Here is a 14,470-nt window from a genome sequence, read left to right as displayed (position 1 = left end):
CCCAGCACCACGAGGTTTCCAGTTGTGTTCAGCCTCATTTCACATCTAATGACTGTTCTGAGACTGCATGTTGGCCTTACCATTGGAAGAGAACAATGGGAGTCAGCACTTAATCATTTTGTAGTGGTGAATGGAATTGGGGAGATTTACAGGTAACTCTCAATGAGCAGTGAGTAGATACCACTGAGAGCCAAGAAGTTAAATAGAAATCAGAAACTTTGAAATGTCAAGCTTAAACTTTACATGGAATTTAAAATTAAAGCTGGGTCAGGATGATTCTTTTAAACCCTCCAAAAATCAGTTCCCAAGTTCTATATGTGGACAAGGAATTAATTTTGATAGAGGCCATTTGAGTCAGCTACCACCATCATCATCCTGCATCAACAAATCAGGACAGGATTCAGTGGCTGCTAAGAGCAGGCATTTCCCCCTACGCTCATGGGTCTGTAGGTCCACTGCAGTTCGGCTGACCTAAGCGTGAGCTCAGTGGGGCGGTTTTGCTGCAGGGGTGCAGGGTGGGTTCAGGTCTGCATTACGTGTGTTCATCCTGGAGTCCAGGATACCTGGAGCATGCTCTCTTCATAGCCAATCACCACAGCATGAAAGTAAAGCCAAAGACATCTGCAAATATTTCATTGACCAAAGCAAGTCACATAGCCAAGCTCAACATCAAAGAGCATGGGAAAGCATACTTCATCACAAAGAAGGGGTCAAGGGGAGGAGAGAAGTGATTACCGGCTGAGAAATAGATACCCTATATATAAATATATATAGTTATATCTCAAAGATATTGTGAGTTCAGTTCCAGGTCACTACAATAAAATGAATATTGCAGTAAATTGAGTCACTTGAATTTTTTAGTTTCTTAAACTATGTTTACACTATATTGCAGTCTATTAGGTATGCAATAACATTATTCTTTTTTTTTTTTTTTTTTTTTTTGAGACAAGATCTTACCCTGTCGCCCAGGCTGGAGTGCAGTGGTATGCTCTCAGCTCACTGCAACCTCCACCTCCCGGGTTCAAGCAATTCTCATGCCTCAGCCTCCCGAGTAGCTGGGACTACAGGTATGCACCACCACGCCTGGCTAATTTTTGTATTTTTTTTTTTTTTGGTAGAGATGGGGTTTCACCATGTTGGCCAGGCTGGTCTCAAACTCCTGACCTCAAGTGATCCACCTTCCGGGGCCTCCCAAATTGCTGGGATTACAGGCATGAGCCACCGCGTTCGGCCTGCAATAACATTATTCTAAAAAAATACAATAATGTTATTGCATGCTTAATAGACTACCGTATAGTGTAAACAACTCTAAAAAACTTAATTAAAAATATGTTATTGCTAAAAAATGCTAACAATCATATGAATCTTCAACAAATCATAATCTTTTTGCTGGTCGAGGGTCTTGTTGATGTTGATGGCTAGTGACTGATCAGGGTGCTGAAGGTTGGGGTGGTCGTGGCAATTTCTTAAAATAAGACAATGAATTTTGCCACATCAATTGACTTTTCCTTTCATGAAAGACTTCTCTAGCATGTGATGCTGTTTGATAGCATTTTACCTGCAGTAGAACTTCTTCCAATATTAGAGACAATTCTCTCAAACCCTGCTGCTTTATCAGCTAAGTTGATGTGATATTCTAAGTCCTTTGTTGTCATTCCAACAATGTTCACAACCTCTTCACCAGTAATAGTAGATTCCATCTCAAGAAACCGCCCCCCCCCCACTTTTTTTTTTTTTTGAGATGAAGCCTCACTGTGTCACCCAGGCTGGAGTGCAGTGGCGCGATCTCGGCTCACTGCAACCTTCGCCTCCTGGGTTGAAGCAATTCTCCCACCTCAGCTTCCCAAGTAGCTGTGACTACAGGCATGTGCCACCACGAATGGCTAATTTTTGTATTTTTAGTAGAGATGGGGTTTCGCTACATTGGCCAGACTGCTCTCGAACTCCTGACCACAAGTGATCCACCTGTCTCGACCTCCCAAAGTGCTGGGATTACAGGCATGAACCACCACGCCCGGCCTTTTTAAAAAAAAAAAAAAAAAAAAGACAGGGTTTCACTGTATTGCCCAGGCTGGAGTGCAGCAGCATGGTCTTGGCTTACTGCAATCCTGACTTCCCAGACTCAAGTGATCCTCCTGCCTCAGCCTCCTGAGTAGCTACAGGTGTGCAACACCACGCCCGACTAATTTTTTTATTTTTTGTAGAGATGGGGTCTCGCCATGTTGCCCAAGCTGGTCTCAAACTCTTAGGTTCAAGTTGTCTGTGCGCCTCAGCCTCCCAAGTTGCTGGGATTTCAGGGGTGAGCCTGTAATCTGTGCCTGGCCAAGAAACCAGTTTCTTTGTTCATCCACGAGAAACAACTCCTTATCTGTTCAAGTCTGATTATGAGATTGCAGCAATTCAGTCCCATCTTCAGGCTTCACTTCTAATCCCATTTCTCTTTTTGTTTCCACCACATCTACAGATACTTTCTCCATGCAAGTCTTGAACTTCTGAAAGTCATCCATGTGGGTTAAAATAAACTTCTTCCAAACTCCTGTGAATATTGATAATTGATCTTCTCTTATGAATTATGAATGTTCTTAATGACATCTCAAATGGTAAATCCTTTCCAAAAGGCTTTCAGTTTACCTCACCCAGCTCCATCAGAGGACTCACTATCTATGGCAGCTATGGCCTTATGAAATGTATTTCTCAAATAATAAGACTTGAAAGTAGAAATGACTCCATGATCTATGGGCTGCAGAATGGATGTTGTGTGAGCAGGCATGAAAACAACATTCAGGCCAGGCATGGTGCCTCACGCCTGTAGTCCCAGTACTTTGGGAGTCCGAGGCGGGAGGATCACTTGAGGTCAGGAGTTCGAGACCAGCCTGGCCAACATGGTGAAACCCTGTCTCTACTAAAACTACAAAGTTAGCTGGGCGTGGTGGCGGGTGCCTGTAATCCTAGCTACTTGGGAGGTTGAGGCAGGAGAATTGCTTGACCCTGGGAGGCAGAGGTTGCAGTGAGCCAAGATCACTCCATGCCACTGCACTCCAGCCTGGGGGAGAGAACAAGACTCTGTCTCAAAACAAACAAACAAACAAACAAACAACAACATTAATCTCCTTGTACATCTCCAGTAGAGATCTTGGGTGACCAGGTGCACTGTCAATAAGTAGCAATATTTTGGAAAGAATCATTTTCCTAAGAAGTAAGTCTTAACAGTGGGCTTAAAGTATTCAGCAAACCATACTGTACACAGATGTGCCGTTATCCAGGCTTTGCTGGTCCATTTATAGAGCACAGGCAGAGTAGATTTAACGTAATCCTTAAGAGCCCTAGGATGTTTGGATTGGTAAAATTGGCTTCAACTTAAAGTCACCAGCTGCATTATCTCTCCACAAGAGAGTGAGCCTGACCTTTGAAGATTTGAAGCCAGTTATTGACTTCTCTCCAGCCATGAAAGTCCTAGAAGGCATCTTCTTCCAATAGAAGGCTGTTTGGTCTACACTGAAAGTCTGTTGTTTAGTGGAGCCATCTTCATTGACGGTCTTAGCTAGATCTTCTAAAGAACTTGCTGCAGCTTCTCCATGAGCACTTGTTATTTCACCTTACACTTTTATGTTATGGAGACGGCTTCCTTCCTTAAACCTCATGAACCAACCTCTGCCAGCTTCAAACTTTTCTTTTGCAGCTTCCTTACCTCCCTTGGCCTTCACAGAATTGAAGAGAGTTAGGGCCTTGCTCTGGATTAGGCTGTGGCTGCAGGGAATGTTGTGGCTGGCTTGATCTTCTATCCAAAGCACTAAATCTCGCTCCATATCAGCAAGGAGCTTGTGTCACTTTCTTAGCAGTTGTGTGTTCACTGGCATAGCACTTTTAATTTCCTTCAAAAACTTTTCCTTTTTATTCACAACTTGGCTAACTGGCACAAGAGGCCCAGCTTTCAGCCTATCTTGGCTTTCACCATGGCTTCCTCACTAAGCTTAATCATTTCTAGCTTTTGATTGAAACTGAAAGATAATGTGACCCTTCTTTTACTTGAACACTTACAGGCTGTGGTTGGGTTTCAATGTTGTTGAAACCCAACATTGTTTTTGTGTCTCAGGGAATGGGGAGGCCCCAGGAGAGGGAGGGAGACCAGAAACGGCCAATCAGTGGAGCAGTCAGAACACACACAACGTTTATCCATTAAGTTCATCATCTTATATGGTGCCGTTCATGGCACCCCACGACAATTCCAAGAATAACATCAAAGATCACTGATCACAGATCACCATGAGAGATATCATAATAATGACAAGGTTTGAAATATTGTGAAAATTACCAAAGCGTGACACAGGACAAAAGCGAGCATGTGCTATTGGGAAAATGGTGCTGATAGACTTGCTTGACACAGGGTTGCCACAAACCTTCAATTTGCAAAAACGCACTCTCTGTGAAGCACGATAAAGTGGGCTACAAGAAAATGAGGTCTGCCTGCCTCTGTGCGCTGTACATGAAAACAAGCCTAATTTTCAAGAGACCTTGGCAGTGGCTGTTTGTTTTTGTGACTGTTGAGGTTTTTTTGTTTTTGAGTTTCATCTTGTTTTTAAATAAAAATAAGGTGCTGGCACTCCTGTCTTGATACTGTAGTCACTGCCTCTTCTCCACCCCCTTTTTCTGTACTCCCTTGGCCCCTCTCTACCAGGCTACTGGAACCCACTCATGTCTTTGTACAAATTAGGGGAATTCTCCCTCTTTTGGCAGTAACACCTTGGTGAGTGGGTGGTGCCTTTGTGCTTCCTGAAGTGGATGCCACCCTATGCCAGAACACAAAGCTTAGCAAACAGAATCTAAGCTGGGTTTTAACTCAACCACCTCAGCGGGCTGCTCTGTGCAGTGAACAACCTGCTCAACTGTGCAGGGCAGCCTGTTTCTCCACCACCTTCTATCTCTATACTAGCAAATATGAAACTCCAAATGTAGGTCAATGAACACTGAAAAACAAGGAAAAAAACATCTCACTGCTTATGGTATACCGTAGTGTGTGCACACTTTATATTTTTGAGTGGAGGGGTCATACAAGTCCGCACAAATATAGGACTTTCTCCTACTAAGTGAGTAGAGATGAAGATATAAATGTATTTGAGTTAGGCAAGTGTCACCCAGAATCACCACCTTCCATGGGCAGTGGAGGGAGGCACTGGAAAAGCACTGAACTGCATGAGCGTTTGCTTTTTACGATATCAAGGACATTGCAAGAATGGTGCTAAAGTCAACATGTTCAAACAGTGTCACATCAGAACCCTGAGTGAGGGAAGGGTGTGTGGAATCACTCAAACGGCTTTAACGCAGCAGCAGATGTAACACATACCAGGAAAACGTGATGTAGCATTTAACTCATTCTCAGCTTTACATTCTCAGCCCTCAAGAAAAATTTTCAGATGAGCCATCTCGCCATTTCCTAATTGAACATTGAGTAGTTATAACAATGGGAACCAGTCATTATCATAAAGGGAACAATTTGGGCATGATGTCCAAAACATAATCTTCCCCCTCTGGTCTAGGTTTAGGCACATAGAGCAAGAAGTGGGAAAGAATAAGAATATAAATATAAAGAGTCAGGACAAGGAGGCCATCTCTCTTCTCTCAGGACAGGGGCTGGCCCTAGTGTCAGGAGGGCCAGGCTGTTGTCACCTTGTCGTGTTGTGCAGGGTTCCAGGTAGGTCATGTATGGCCAGAGTGAGCTGGCCTTTGGTGCTCTAAGTTAACTGCAACATCTCATTGACCTAGCTGTATGTGTCCAAAGTGAGTTGGAGGCACTCTGCTCCACACAGTCATGCAAGGATCAAGGAAATGTGCACTTCAGTGTCCTGACCGCATCATCTAACTTGAGGCATCCAGAGTTGTAAAGGCAGGGAAAGAAAAAGGACATGGAGAACCACATCCACTCTTAAGAGCTTTGGACCAAAGGGTGCTATGGGGTCACTTTTGCTCCCAGACCATTGGTCAGTACTAAGCTGATGTCCTCAACCTAACGACAAAGGAGGCTGGGAAACAGGCAGGTGCAGATGGAATGTCTGGGGAGCACACTCCATGCCACAGTCCTCTTCACCAAATACTTGTCCTTGTGTGCCGATGCCTGCGTTTCCATCGTGGACTAGCTACTCCTTGGGATTAGTGCCTCCCCTGCCCACTCAGTGACTCTCTCTAAAATGCAGTGACTTGGGGAGGGATAGATCTCAGCTCTGTGGGTTTGGATGGCTGGCTCACCCTCTCAATACCTCCCTAGGACTGTCCTGTACTAGTCCCAGGACTCACCTCACCGGATTTTGTGAGCGGCAAGTGAGGTGACCTGTGAAGTGCCTGGCACAGCGCATCCTGCTCCTGAGCACCTGGCAGATGCACACGATTGTTGTTATTGGTGCCCCTTTGATGGAGGCAAGCGTATTGCATCCCTGGTCTCTCAGCACCCTGAGGCCAAGGCTTGGTGGAGCCCAGAAAGAGATGAAGACAGAGGCCAGGCAAAGCCCCAGACAAGGGAGGGCCCTGCAGCTTGTCTCCACTACAGATGTGCTCCTGGGGCCACTGAAGAAGCTGGGAAAGGGAGGGCTCCATCCTTAGCTTTTCCCCAAATATTATAATCGAACACCTGCCTTGGCTCTCCGCTGAAAACAACACGATGTTTGATTTGATGCAAGATTATGTGTCCAGTCATTTTCAGTTTTATGTTCCTGTATTTCCCAGCCTCATAAAAAGTTCTTTAGCTTCCACTTTGAGAAGTTCAGCTCTAGACCTTATGGGTCTGCTCTATGGGAACCAGATTCCCTCGCATGAGAAGTCAGCCAAGCAGTAATACTAGCAGCAACAGTAACGGCTCCGTGCTAATGAGTGCGTGAGTGCTCTCCATGGTCTCAGCACCTTACTGGGCACGTGCAATGCAGAGCACCCAAGGGAACCCTGAGATGGCATGACCTGCAGTGGGCAAGGAGGATCCCCGTTGGCTCCTGCCTCCGTAAGAACGGTCACTGCCTTTGACTGAGCATTTATTCTGTGCCGGGCTTGTTACGTGTCTAAGTTCAACAGTCCTCTGAGGCAGATTAATTCCCCCATCTAGCATAGAGGAAACCAAGGCACAGCAGGTAAGGAGCGGTGGCAGGCTGCGTGGTGTCTCCCTCTGGCCTGCTGGTTCCAGAGCCCTGAGGGTGGCATCAGGCTGCTGCAGAGCCTCAGATCTCCAGGAGAGAGGAGGAGGGAGCCGGGACTTACAGGGAACTGAAACAACCAAAGGATAGCACATACGAGTTCATTATTTGCTATGTCTGCAGTTGGAAAATCACAGCCAGCCCTGGCAGACACTTACTGAGTGCTCACTGTACACCAGGCGGGATCCCAGTGCCCATGGGCACTCTCTCATGTGATTGTCACTGCAGGCTTTCAAGTTAATTCTATTATCTGCAGGTTTCAGATGAGGAAACCAAGGCCCAGAGAGGAAAAGGCACAGCAGGCATGACACCAGTGCCATCGGTGTTTGCTTCACCCTTGCAGATTACGAGGCAAGTTCACATGCATGTCGTCGGTGCTGGGGGACAGCGTCTCCCTGGGGACACACACATGCAGTCTGGCCAGGCCTAAACCAAGTCAGGATTATGTTGCTGGTGATGTAAACCAGCCAAGGTCGCGGAGAGCAATGCCACACAGCAAATAAGAGCTCACACAGCCCCACACACCCTGGCCAGCCCGGATAGCTTCCCTTCCCTGACCTCAGTCCTCTCCCCCGTAAAACGGTGTTAAGACCAGTAGCCACCTGGTGGGGTGCATTATGAGAGTGACTGAAGATAACCCACATACAATGGTGAGTATTGGCTGTCCTGGGTAGAACAGTGTACTCCCACATTAATGTCCTGGGAATATGTGAACGGAACCTTATTTGGAAATAGGGCCATACAGATGTGATCAGAGGAGGTCACACAGAATTAAGGGGGGCCCAAATCTAATGTAACTGGTGTCCTTATAAGCAAAGGGAAATTTGGGTACAGACACAGGGCAGAAGGCCGTGTGACAGCAAAGACAGAGATTGGAGTGAGGGGTTGCCAGCCTTCACAAAAAGCCAGGAAGAGGCGAGAAGGGTCTCCCCTGCAGCCTTCAGAGAGAGCCCAGCTGACACCTTGATTTTGGCCTTCTAGCCTCCAGGACTCGGAGAATAGACTTCTGTCGTGTGAACCTCTCAGTGTGTGCTACTGTTACGGCCGCCCTCAGAAACTCCTACACTGAGACCTAGTAGGAACTCAATCAACATTGGGTGTTATTATTATTTGAGACAGGAAGAGACATTACACCAATGCCTGGGAAATGTGACTTCCAGAACACGAACTGCAACGGAAGTGCTAGAGTGTGCACTAAGCTGGCTACAGCTAAAGGGCAGAACACTGAAGGGATTAGGAGAAACACGAATATGGGAGACACTTCCCTTCTAGGGTCTTTGTCCAGCTTTTCTTCCCGGGAATTTGGAAACTCACCGTTTATCAATTGTGTGCTTACAGTAGTGACAGTGTGTCTGCTTCCCACACAGACAAAAATATGGCAGGGATGGACATTCCCGAGTCCTGGAAACCAGGGACAGTCAGGGGTGGGTGGATTCCTCCCAACCTTCCAAGCTCTCTGTGGGGGAGGGGGATACTGCTGCCAGCTGCCCCTCCCCTCGGGCTGCCAGTTGCCTGGCCTGCCTGGGGGACTGTGTGTGCGCGCATAGCCTCCTGCACCCGCCCCCCCTGCTGAGGCCAGGGAGCCGGAAGGGCACAGACAGGCTTTGGAATGCAGGGCTGTGCAGCACACTTTAGTGGGAGTCAGGTTTTCTGCCTGAGGCAGAGGGAATTCTAACACACGCTAGAGCAGAAAGACAGAAATTGCCTTTTAGACGCGGCTGCCATCAGCAATATTTAGCAGGCAGGCTCTGCAGGGCCGTTTAACCTTCTGTAACCTTACAGTTAAGTGCTGGCTCGCTGGCTGGCTCGCTCTCTCTCTCTCTCTCTCTCTCTCTCTCTCTCTCTCTCACACACACACACACACACACACACATTCCTCTGTGCAGATATATCCGTGGTTCTGCTTAATATTTTACCACAGTGGTTTTATTTCAAGGGGAGCTCTACAGGCTGACATTTCTTCTTCTATGTGTGCCCAATATTTTACATGTACACACACGCAGAAACTTGCATATTCATATCTTCCAGGAATCGACACTTAAAGAGGGAGGAACCTGAGAGCTTCTTGCTCATCAGAGCAATGCCAAATGTACAGTTGGAGCTTGGCAAATAATTAATAGTAATGAAAATTGACATTGCAAAAATTAAAGTGAGAGGGCTGACAGAAAGGAATTGGTTTGGTTGTCAAACCACAAGCCTAAAGGGAAACAGATTGCTTTGGAGAATCTTTTAATTAATTTTTGAGTTTCCCTGTTTCTTCTCTGCTGCGTGAGCAGAGTTCCTTCCTCGGCCATCAGGATGCTCTACAGAAGGGGACAGGTCGGAGAAGGATGGATGGTGTTAGGGATGCTCCCATCTTGGAAGCCTCTGGAATTCCCCAGTCCCCAGTAAGGAGAGCTCAAGGTGGGGGTGACACAGCCCAAAGAGGGGTTCGTTTTGTAAATTTACTTTTATTACCGATGAATAAACCAAGAGGTCTAGCTCATTCATAGCTAAAATAAAAATGGATCTCTACAGTCTGACCAAGTTCAGCCACTGAGCTGCAGCATTAACTTGTATTCTAACAAGATTAAAATATATTTGTCCTGGGGATTAGCATACTTAAGTCCCCTTTTGCCTTTTTAGCGGTGGCAGGGCACTTTGATCTGCCTTGCGTGGCAAGAGCGCGGCTTGGGCCCAGCGATCCGACTGCCGAGTGTGAAATCAGCCTGATGTCATCCCATTCTTCAGCTTTTACATCTTTCCCCAGTTTAATTATATTTCCGCCACAAAGCTCCCGCGTCTCATTGCATATTCAAGTTTGACTAGGAAGCATTTAAAAAACAGTGTGGATGAAATACCCTTGTGGGGGGAAGGGATGGGGTGGGTTGGCTGGGGGGGGCTGCAAATCTTCATGGAGCGAAAGCAGCGAGCCCCAACACCCGCATCACCCCATGGATGGCCTCACCTGCGTGGAAATGTGTCCAACTTCCGCCTGCCCCACCCGCTAGGCGCCCAGCTCCCCCCGACGGCGCCAGGCACAAAGGCCATTGTCACGCCGGGCGTTTAGGTATGGGGGCTGTTTTGCCTTGTGACTCCAGCGGGTTTGTATGACATTCTTCCTCTGACGTGCTGTTTTTGTTTCCTTGGGGCTCTGAATCCACAGGGCGCGTTCCCGTCTCTACATATAAAAGATGTTTTTCTCTCTGCGAGTGATGAGTCACTGGTGGAATCGCCTACTCTGAGGCAGTATGCAGTCACTAAAATAAATTCTAAGGCTCACTGAGTTCCCAGGGGCAATGGGCCCGGCTGGTCTTTGATCACCTTTAAAAGAATCAGAACATTTAACTCTCCATCCAGACCTGATGTTCTGGCCTTCATTCAGAAAGGAAGGCCCGTCATGGCAATAGGCCTAGAGTGGCCCCGGAGTAGCACCTGCTAAAGCTACCTCACCTGAGGGGGCCACCAAAAGCCTCTTCCTTTATAGCTTAGTGGGTGGGGGTGGGGGACACTACGACAGAGAGTTGCAGGTACAAATTGATTACCAGTCCTGGTCCTGCTAGATGTAGTGGCCACTCCCATCCAAGGGCACTAATATTTGGGACAGGAAGTGAGCCACCTGTAGAGGTGGTTGGGGCTTTGACCTTCACCCCAGCTCCTGGCCACAGACTCCATTCATACCTGATGAGAGACCAGAGCATCCTGCCTGGGGCTCCTGGAGTCAGGGACCCTAGGACATTACTTCCACATACAAGCTGGGCAGCACAGAAATGCAGATTGGCTACTCCAGTGGATGAGGGCAGGTTGATGCTGGGAAATGCTCTCCGCAGACAGCCCCTTTCCTCTGGGAGTTTCCAGTGTTTTCACTTTTTCGGAGGGAGGACTTGCAGGTAGGGGACGGACGATGGATGGCTGAGTGATGCGCGTTCTCTGCCACTTGAGGGAAAGGAGAAGATGGCTCTGCTGGGTCCTTCAAAAGGTTCAGATTTGTGACTGTTTTTATTTTGAATAATCACTCCTGTTAAAGTTGGAGGTTAGCAACACATTGGTTCTTAAATTGAATGATATAATTATAAAATTATCTCCATGTAATTAACTCAGGATTATGTTTCATTCTATTTAGCATGTAATCAAAGCCTGTTATGCTTTTAGCTATAGGAACAGCAATTAATTTAAAAGGGTTACTGAGACTCTTCGCTATTTAGACAAAATAGATCGTCCCACCATTAGGACGCCCACTCGTTCTTGGAGGAAGAGCTGGGTTGGGGTGGCAAGGTGCGTGGGGCGTGCACTGACCGACACACAGGCAAGGCTGGCTTTGCCCGTTGCCCTCTTGCCTAGTTTGGTGCCTGGAGATGGGAAGCACTCCTGTCTGTGCTTTGAGCCAGATCCTTCTCATCATGATGGGATTCTGCTTAGCGTGGCCATTATAACTTGCAATGGAAAAGAGAGTGGTGTGTAAAGTACTGGGTGTCTATAGAAACCCATGGCAGAACACCTTGCTTATTTGGGGGTCAAGACAAGTGTGGAGAAAAAAATCTTGAAATGAAGATTTTGCGTGTTTGAGCCCTGCAACAAACAAGCACTCACACAGCAGTTTCCAAAGAGCAGGAAGGTTCTGTTCCTGGAAGTGCTGGCCAGCATCCTCCAGCATCCTGGGCTTCATGGGCAGAATCCTGTCCCACTCTCCCGCACCTCCTGCCACCGTCCCACTTTTTTCTCACGGTGTGGACACTGCCTCTCGCGTGCATTACATCCTTTCCCCTACTCCTAAGCAGCAGCGTGGATGCCTCATTGGCTGGGAAAAGCAAGAAGGTGTAAGGGCCCTACTGAAAACCGCACCTGGGCTGTGGAGGGTGCCACTGCTGGGGGGTGCAGAGGCTCACCTGGGAGAGTTTCGCCTCCCCATCCCCTCTCTGTTCTATGCCAGGTGCTGCGTTCATCACCTCCCAAAACAATCTCACCAGAAACTCATTAGGTAGATGAACTTTCTGAGAAAGAGGAGAATGGCTGGACTCTGGAGGACTTAGTGAACAGTCAAGCTGTGATTTGAACACAGGGCTGTGTCATTTCAAAATTCTATGCTTTCCACCGAACCACACTTCTTTCAGTGCTAAGTGATGCTACAGAAGTATTTGCATGAAAAACACAGAACCCAAACTGTCCTAAGCCTGTGTGCCACAGCAAATCCCTGGGCATCTGAAGAGCTCAACCTAAAGCTTTCTTTGCAGGCAGGCTCCTGTCTTTCCACCATTCATTTGGGTGACTGGGAGTTTCTCAACTTTCACGAGCATTAGAAGGCATGGTGAGGCTGACCGTGGCAGCCTCTGTGTTATAATGGACATGACTTACTGGGGAACCTTACTTGCAGTCACATAGTAAGAGCTTTGTATGAGGCACTCAGAACAGTCAGTTATAGAGAAGGAATGTGGAATGGTGGGTGGCAGGGGCTGGGTGGGGAGATGGGGACGTAGTGTTCATGGGTACAGAGCTTCAGTTTTACAATATAAAACGAGTTCTGGAAATGCATGGTGGCGATGTTGCACAGCACTGTGGGTTTATTTAATGCCACTGAAGTGTACACTTAAAATGGTTAAGAGGGCAAATTTTGTCATGTGTATTTTACAACGAAAACGTTGGGAGAAAATATACTAATAGTACTTGCCTTGGCGAGCGTAGAATTCTGCAAACGGCTGGTGATTCTGCCATTTCCCTGACTGCCTGAATCGAAATAAATACTAGTTTTAAGAATTCGCATGTTGTTGTTGCTGTTGGAGAATAAAACCCTCTCAGAAAAACCTCGGGACAAAGTTTTGGCCTAAAGGAAAAACTCAGATGCAACATCCCACGGCCACTGAATGAAACTGAGCGCGCGGGTCAGGGACGTCCTAGGCAGGCTGGGCGGACTCGGCCAGGCTGCCGCGGGGAGGGGCACCGACGGGAACGGGCAGCGGCTCCTCGCAGCGCGCTTGGCAGCGGAGCCTGTGATTACCCATCCAGAGAGGGAAGAAAAGAGAAGGGAAGAAAGGAAAGTTAGTTGGAGGGGGTAGAGGCTGGGGAAAGGAGGGGGGCACACGGCGACGACAGAGCCTGCCAGTCCCCTTCCAGACAAAGGACTTGGCGGGAGGGGGGAACCCCGAATGCGTTCGCTGAAAGGAGGGAGGCGGCTCCTTCCGCGCAGGCAGCGCGCGCCCGGACCGCGCGGCCAAGTTTCACATCTCGACAGATGGGGTCGAGCGGCTGGCCGCCCGGTTTCTTCCAGACGGTTGGTGCAAACAGTGATCCTCACCATTCCTCGACCCCACAGAGGACTCTCGGCTGGGACAGGGTCCTTCCCGCCTGCGTCTCCCACCCAACCCCTCTGCGGCGGAGAAAGCGCCGCAGGCCCGGCAGCCCCTCAGGGCTACCGGGTCCCGGCTCTTCTTCCCTCCTGGGTCTCCGTGGAGGCTGGGGGTGGGGCCTCTCTGGGACGCCTTCCAGGCTGAGGGGGTGAAAAGGCGGCCCAGGAGGCAGATCTCGGCGACTCTTTGTTTCTGCTTCGGGCATTGCGCGGGGCTCAGCCCTGGAGGGGGCGGAACAGCCAACGGGGCGGGGCCCGGGCTCAGGACCCGGAGTTCCCCCTCCTAGAAAGCCGGGTCGGGCGTCCCCAGGGGACACAGAGGGCCCCAAGGGTCTGGAGAAAGTCCTGCCCTCGGCCTGGAAGAGTTTGCCCGGGGCTGGGGCTGGGGCTGGGGCTGGGGCTGGAGAAGGGCAGAGGGCCTGGGCCGCGCCTGGTCTCCGGGACTTCGGAGTCGTTCCGGGGAACCCCATCCCTCAAAGTGGGGCTCCCCGAGTCTCTCTGAGGAAACTGGGCCTGGACTGAAGAGCTGGCCGGCTGCTATCACGAGGCCACTAACAACAGCAGTAATAATAACCGTCATCGCCAGCCTTTCCAGCGAGAGCCGAGAGCGCGGGCGCACCACGCTTGATTAAATCACATAATTAGGAGGCGCTTTAATGAATATTATTACATTTCAGGCGATTTCAAGAATGGCCTTTTATTTTCTCTGGGCAGGCAGCATAAATATAATGAAGTGTTTGAGATTATTAATAAAAACATGAATGGTCTACTTGGGGTTCGCGCCGCGCGGCAATGCGGCCACCAGCATCGCTCACAAATCTGTGCAACAGAGCTGCCAGCGCCAGGCCTGCCCGACCCAGGGTCCGGGGGACCCCACTCTCCGTCCCGCCGGCGGCTTCCCTTCCCCACCACCCACGTCCGCTCCCTACTTGGAGGCCTGGAGAGGGCCTAGCTCTCCGCCGAATGGGGCCGCGATGCC

At 48.9% G+C, this 14,470-nt stretch overlaps 4 annotated features.

Annotated features, from left to right (window-relative positions):
• Positions 8,615–10,377: an enhancer, noted in NCBI's record as "VISTA enhancer hs1418". NCBI's record gives its function as "enhancer in: hindbrain (rhombencephalon)[4/5] | midbrain (mesencephalon)[4/5]" and the evidence as "EXISTENCE:transgenic organism evidence [ECO:0001131][PMID:17130149]".
• Positions 8,615–10,770: a biological region, named in NCBI's record as "VISTA enhancer hs1418".
• Positions 9,571–10,770: an enhancer, noted in NCBI's record as "BRD4-independent group 4 enhancer chr7:155263654-155264853 (GRCh37/hg19 assembly coordinates)". NCBI's record gives its function as "activates an origin of replication core promoter dependent on BRD2, P300/CBP, MED14 and CDK7 cofactors, and independent of BRD4, by STARR-seq in HCT116 cells {active_cell/tissue: HCT116}" and the evidence as "EXISTENCE:reporter gene assay evidence [ECO:0000049][PMID:35650434]".
• Positions 11,930–12,125: a silencer, noted in NCBI's record as "fragment chr7:155262299-155262494 (GRCh37/hg19 assembly coordinates)". NCBI's record gives its function as "represses an EF-1alpha promoter that drives an FKBP-Casp9 reporter gene in an ReSE screen in phorbol 12-myristate 13-acetate-treated (for megakaryocytic differentiation) K562 erythroleukemia cells {active_cell/tissue: K562(+PMA)}" and the evidence as "EXISTENCE:reporter gene assay evidence [ECO:0000049][PMID:32094911]".

Source organism: Homo sapiens, chromosome 7 (assembly GCF_000001405.40).
Source record: "Homo sapiens chromosome 7, GRCh38.p14 Primary Assembly".
Taxonomy (NCBI): domain Eukaryota; kingdom Metazoa; phylum Chordata; class Mammalia; order Primates; family Hominidae; genus Homo; species Homo sapiens.
This window is presented reverse-complemented; position numbering and strand designations above follow the sequence as displayed.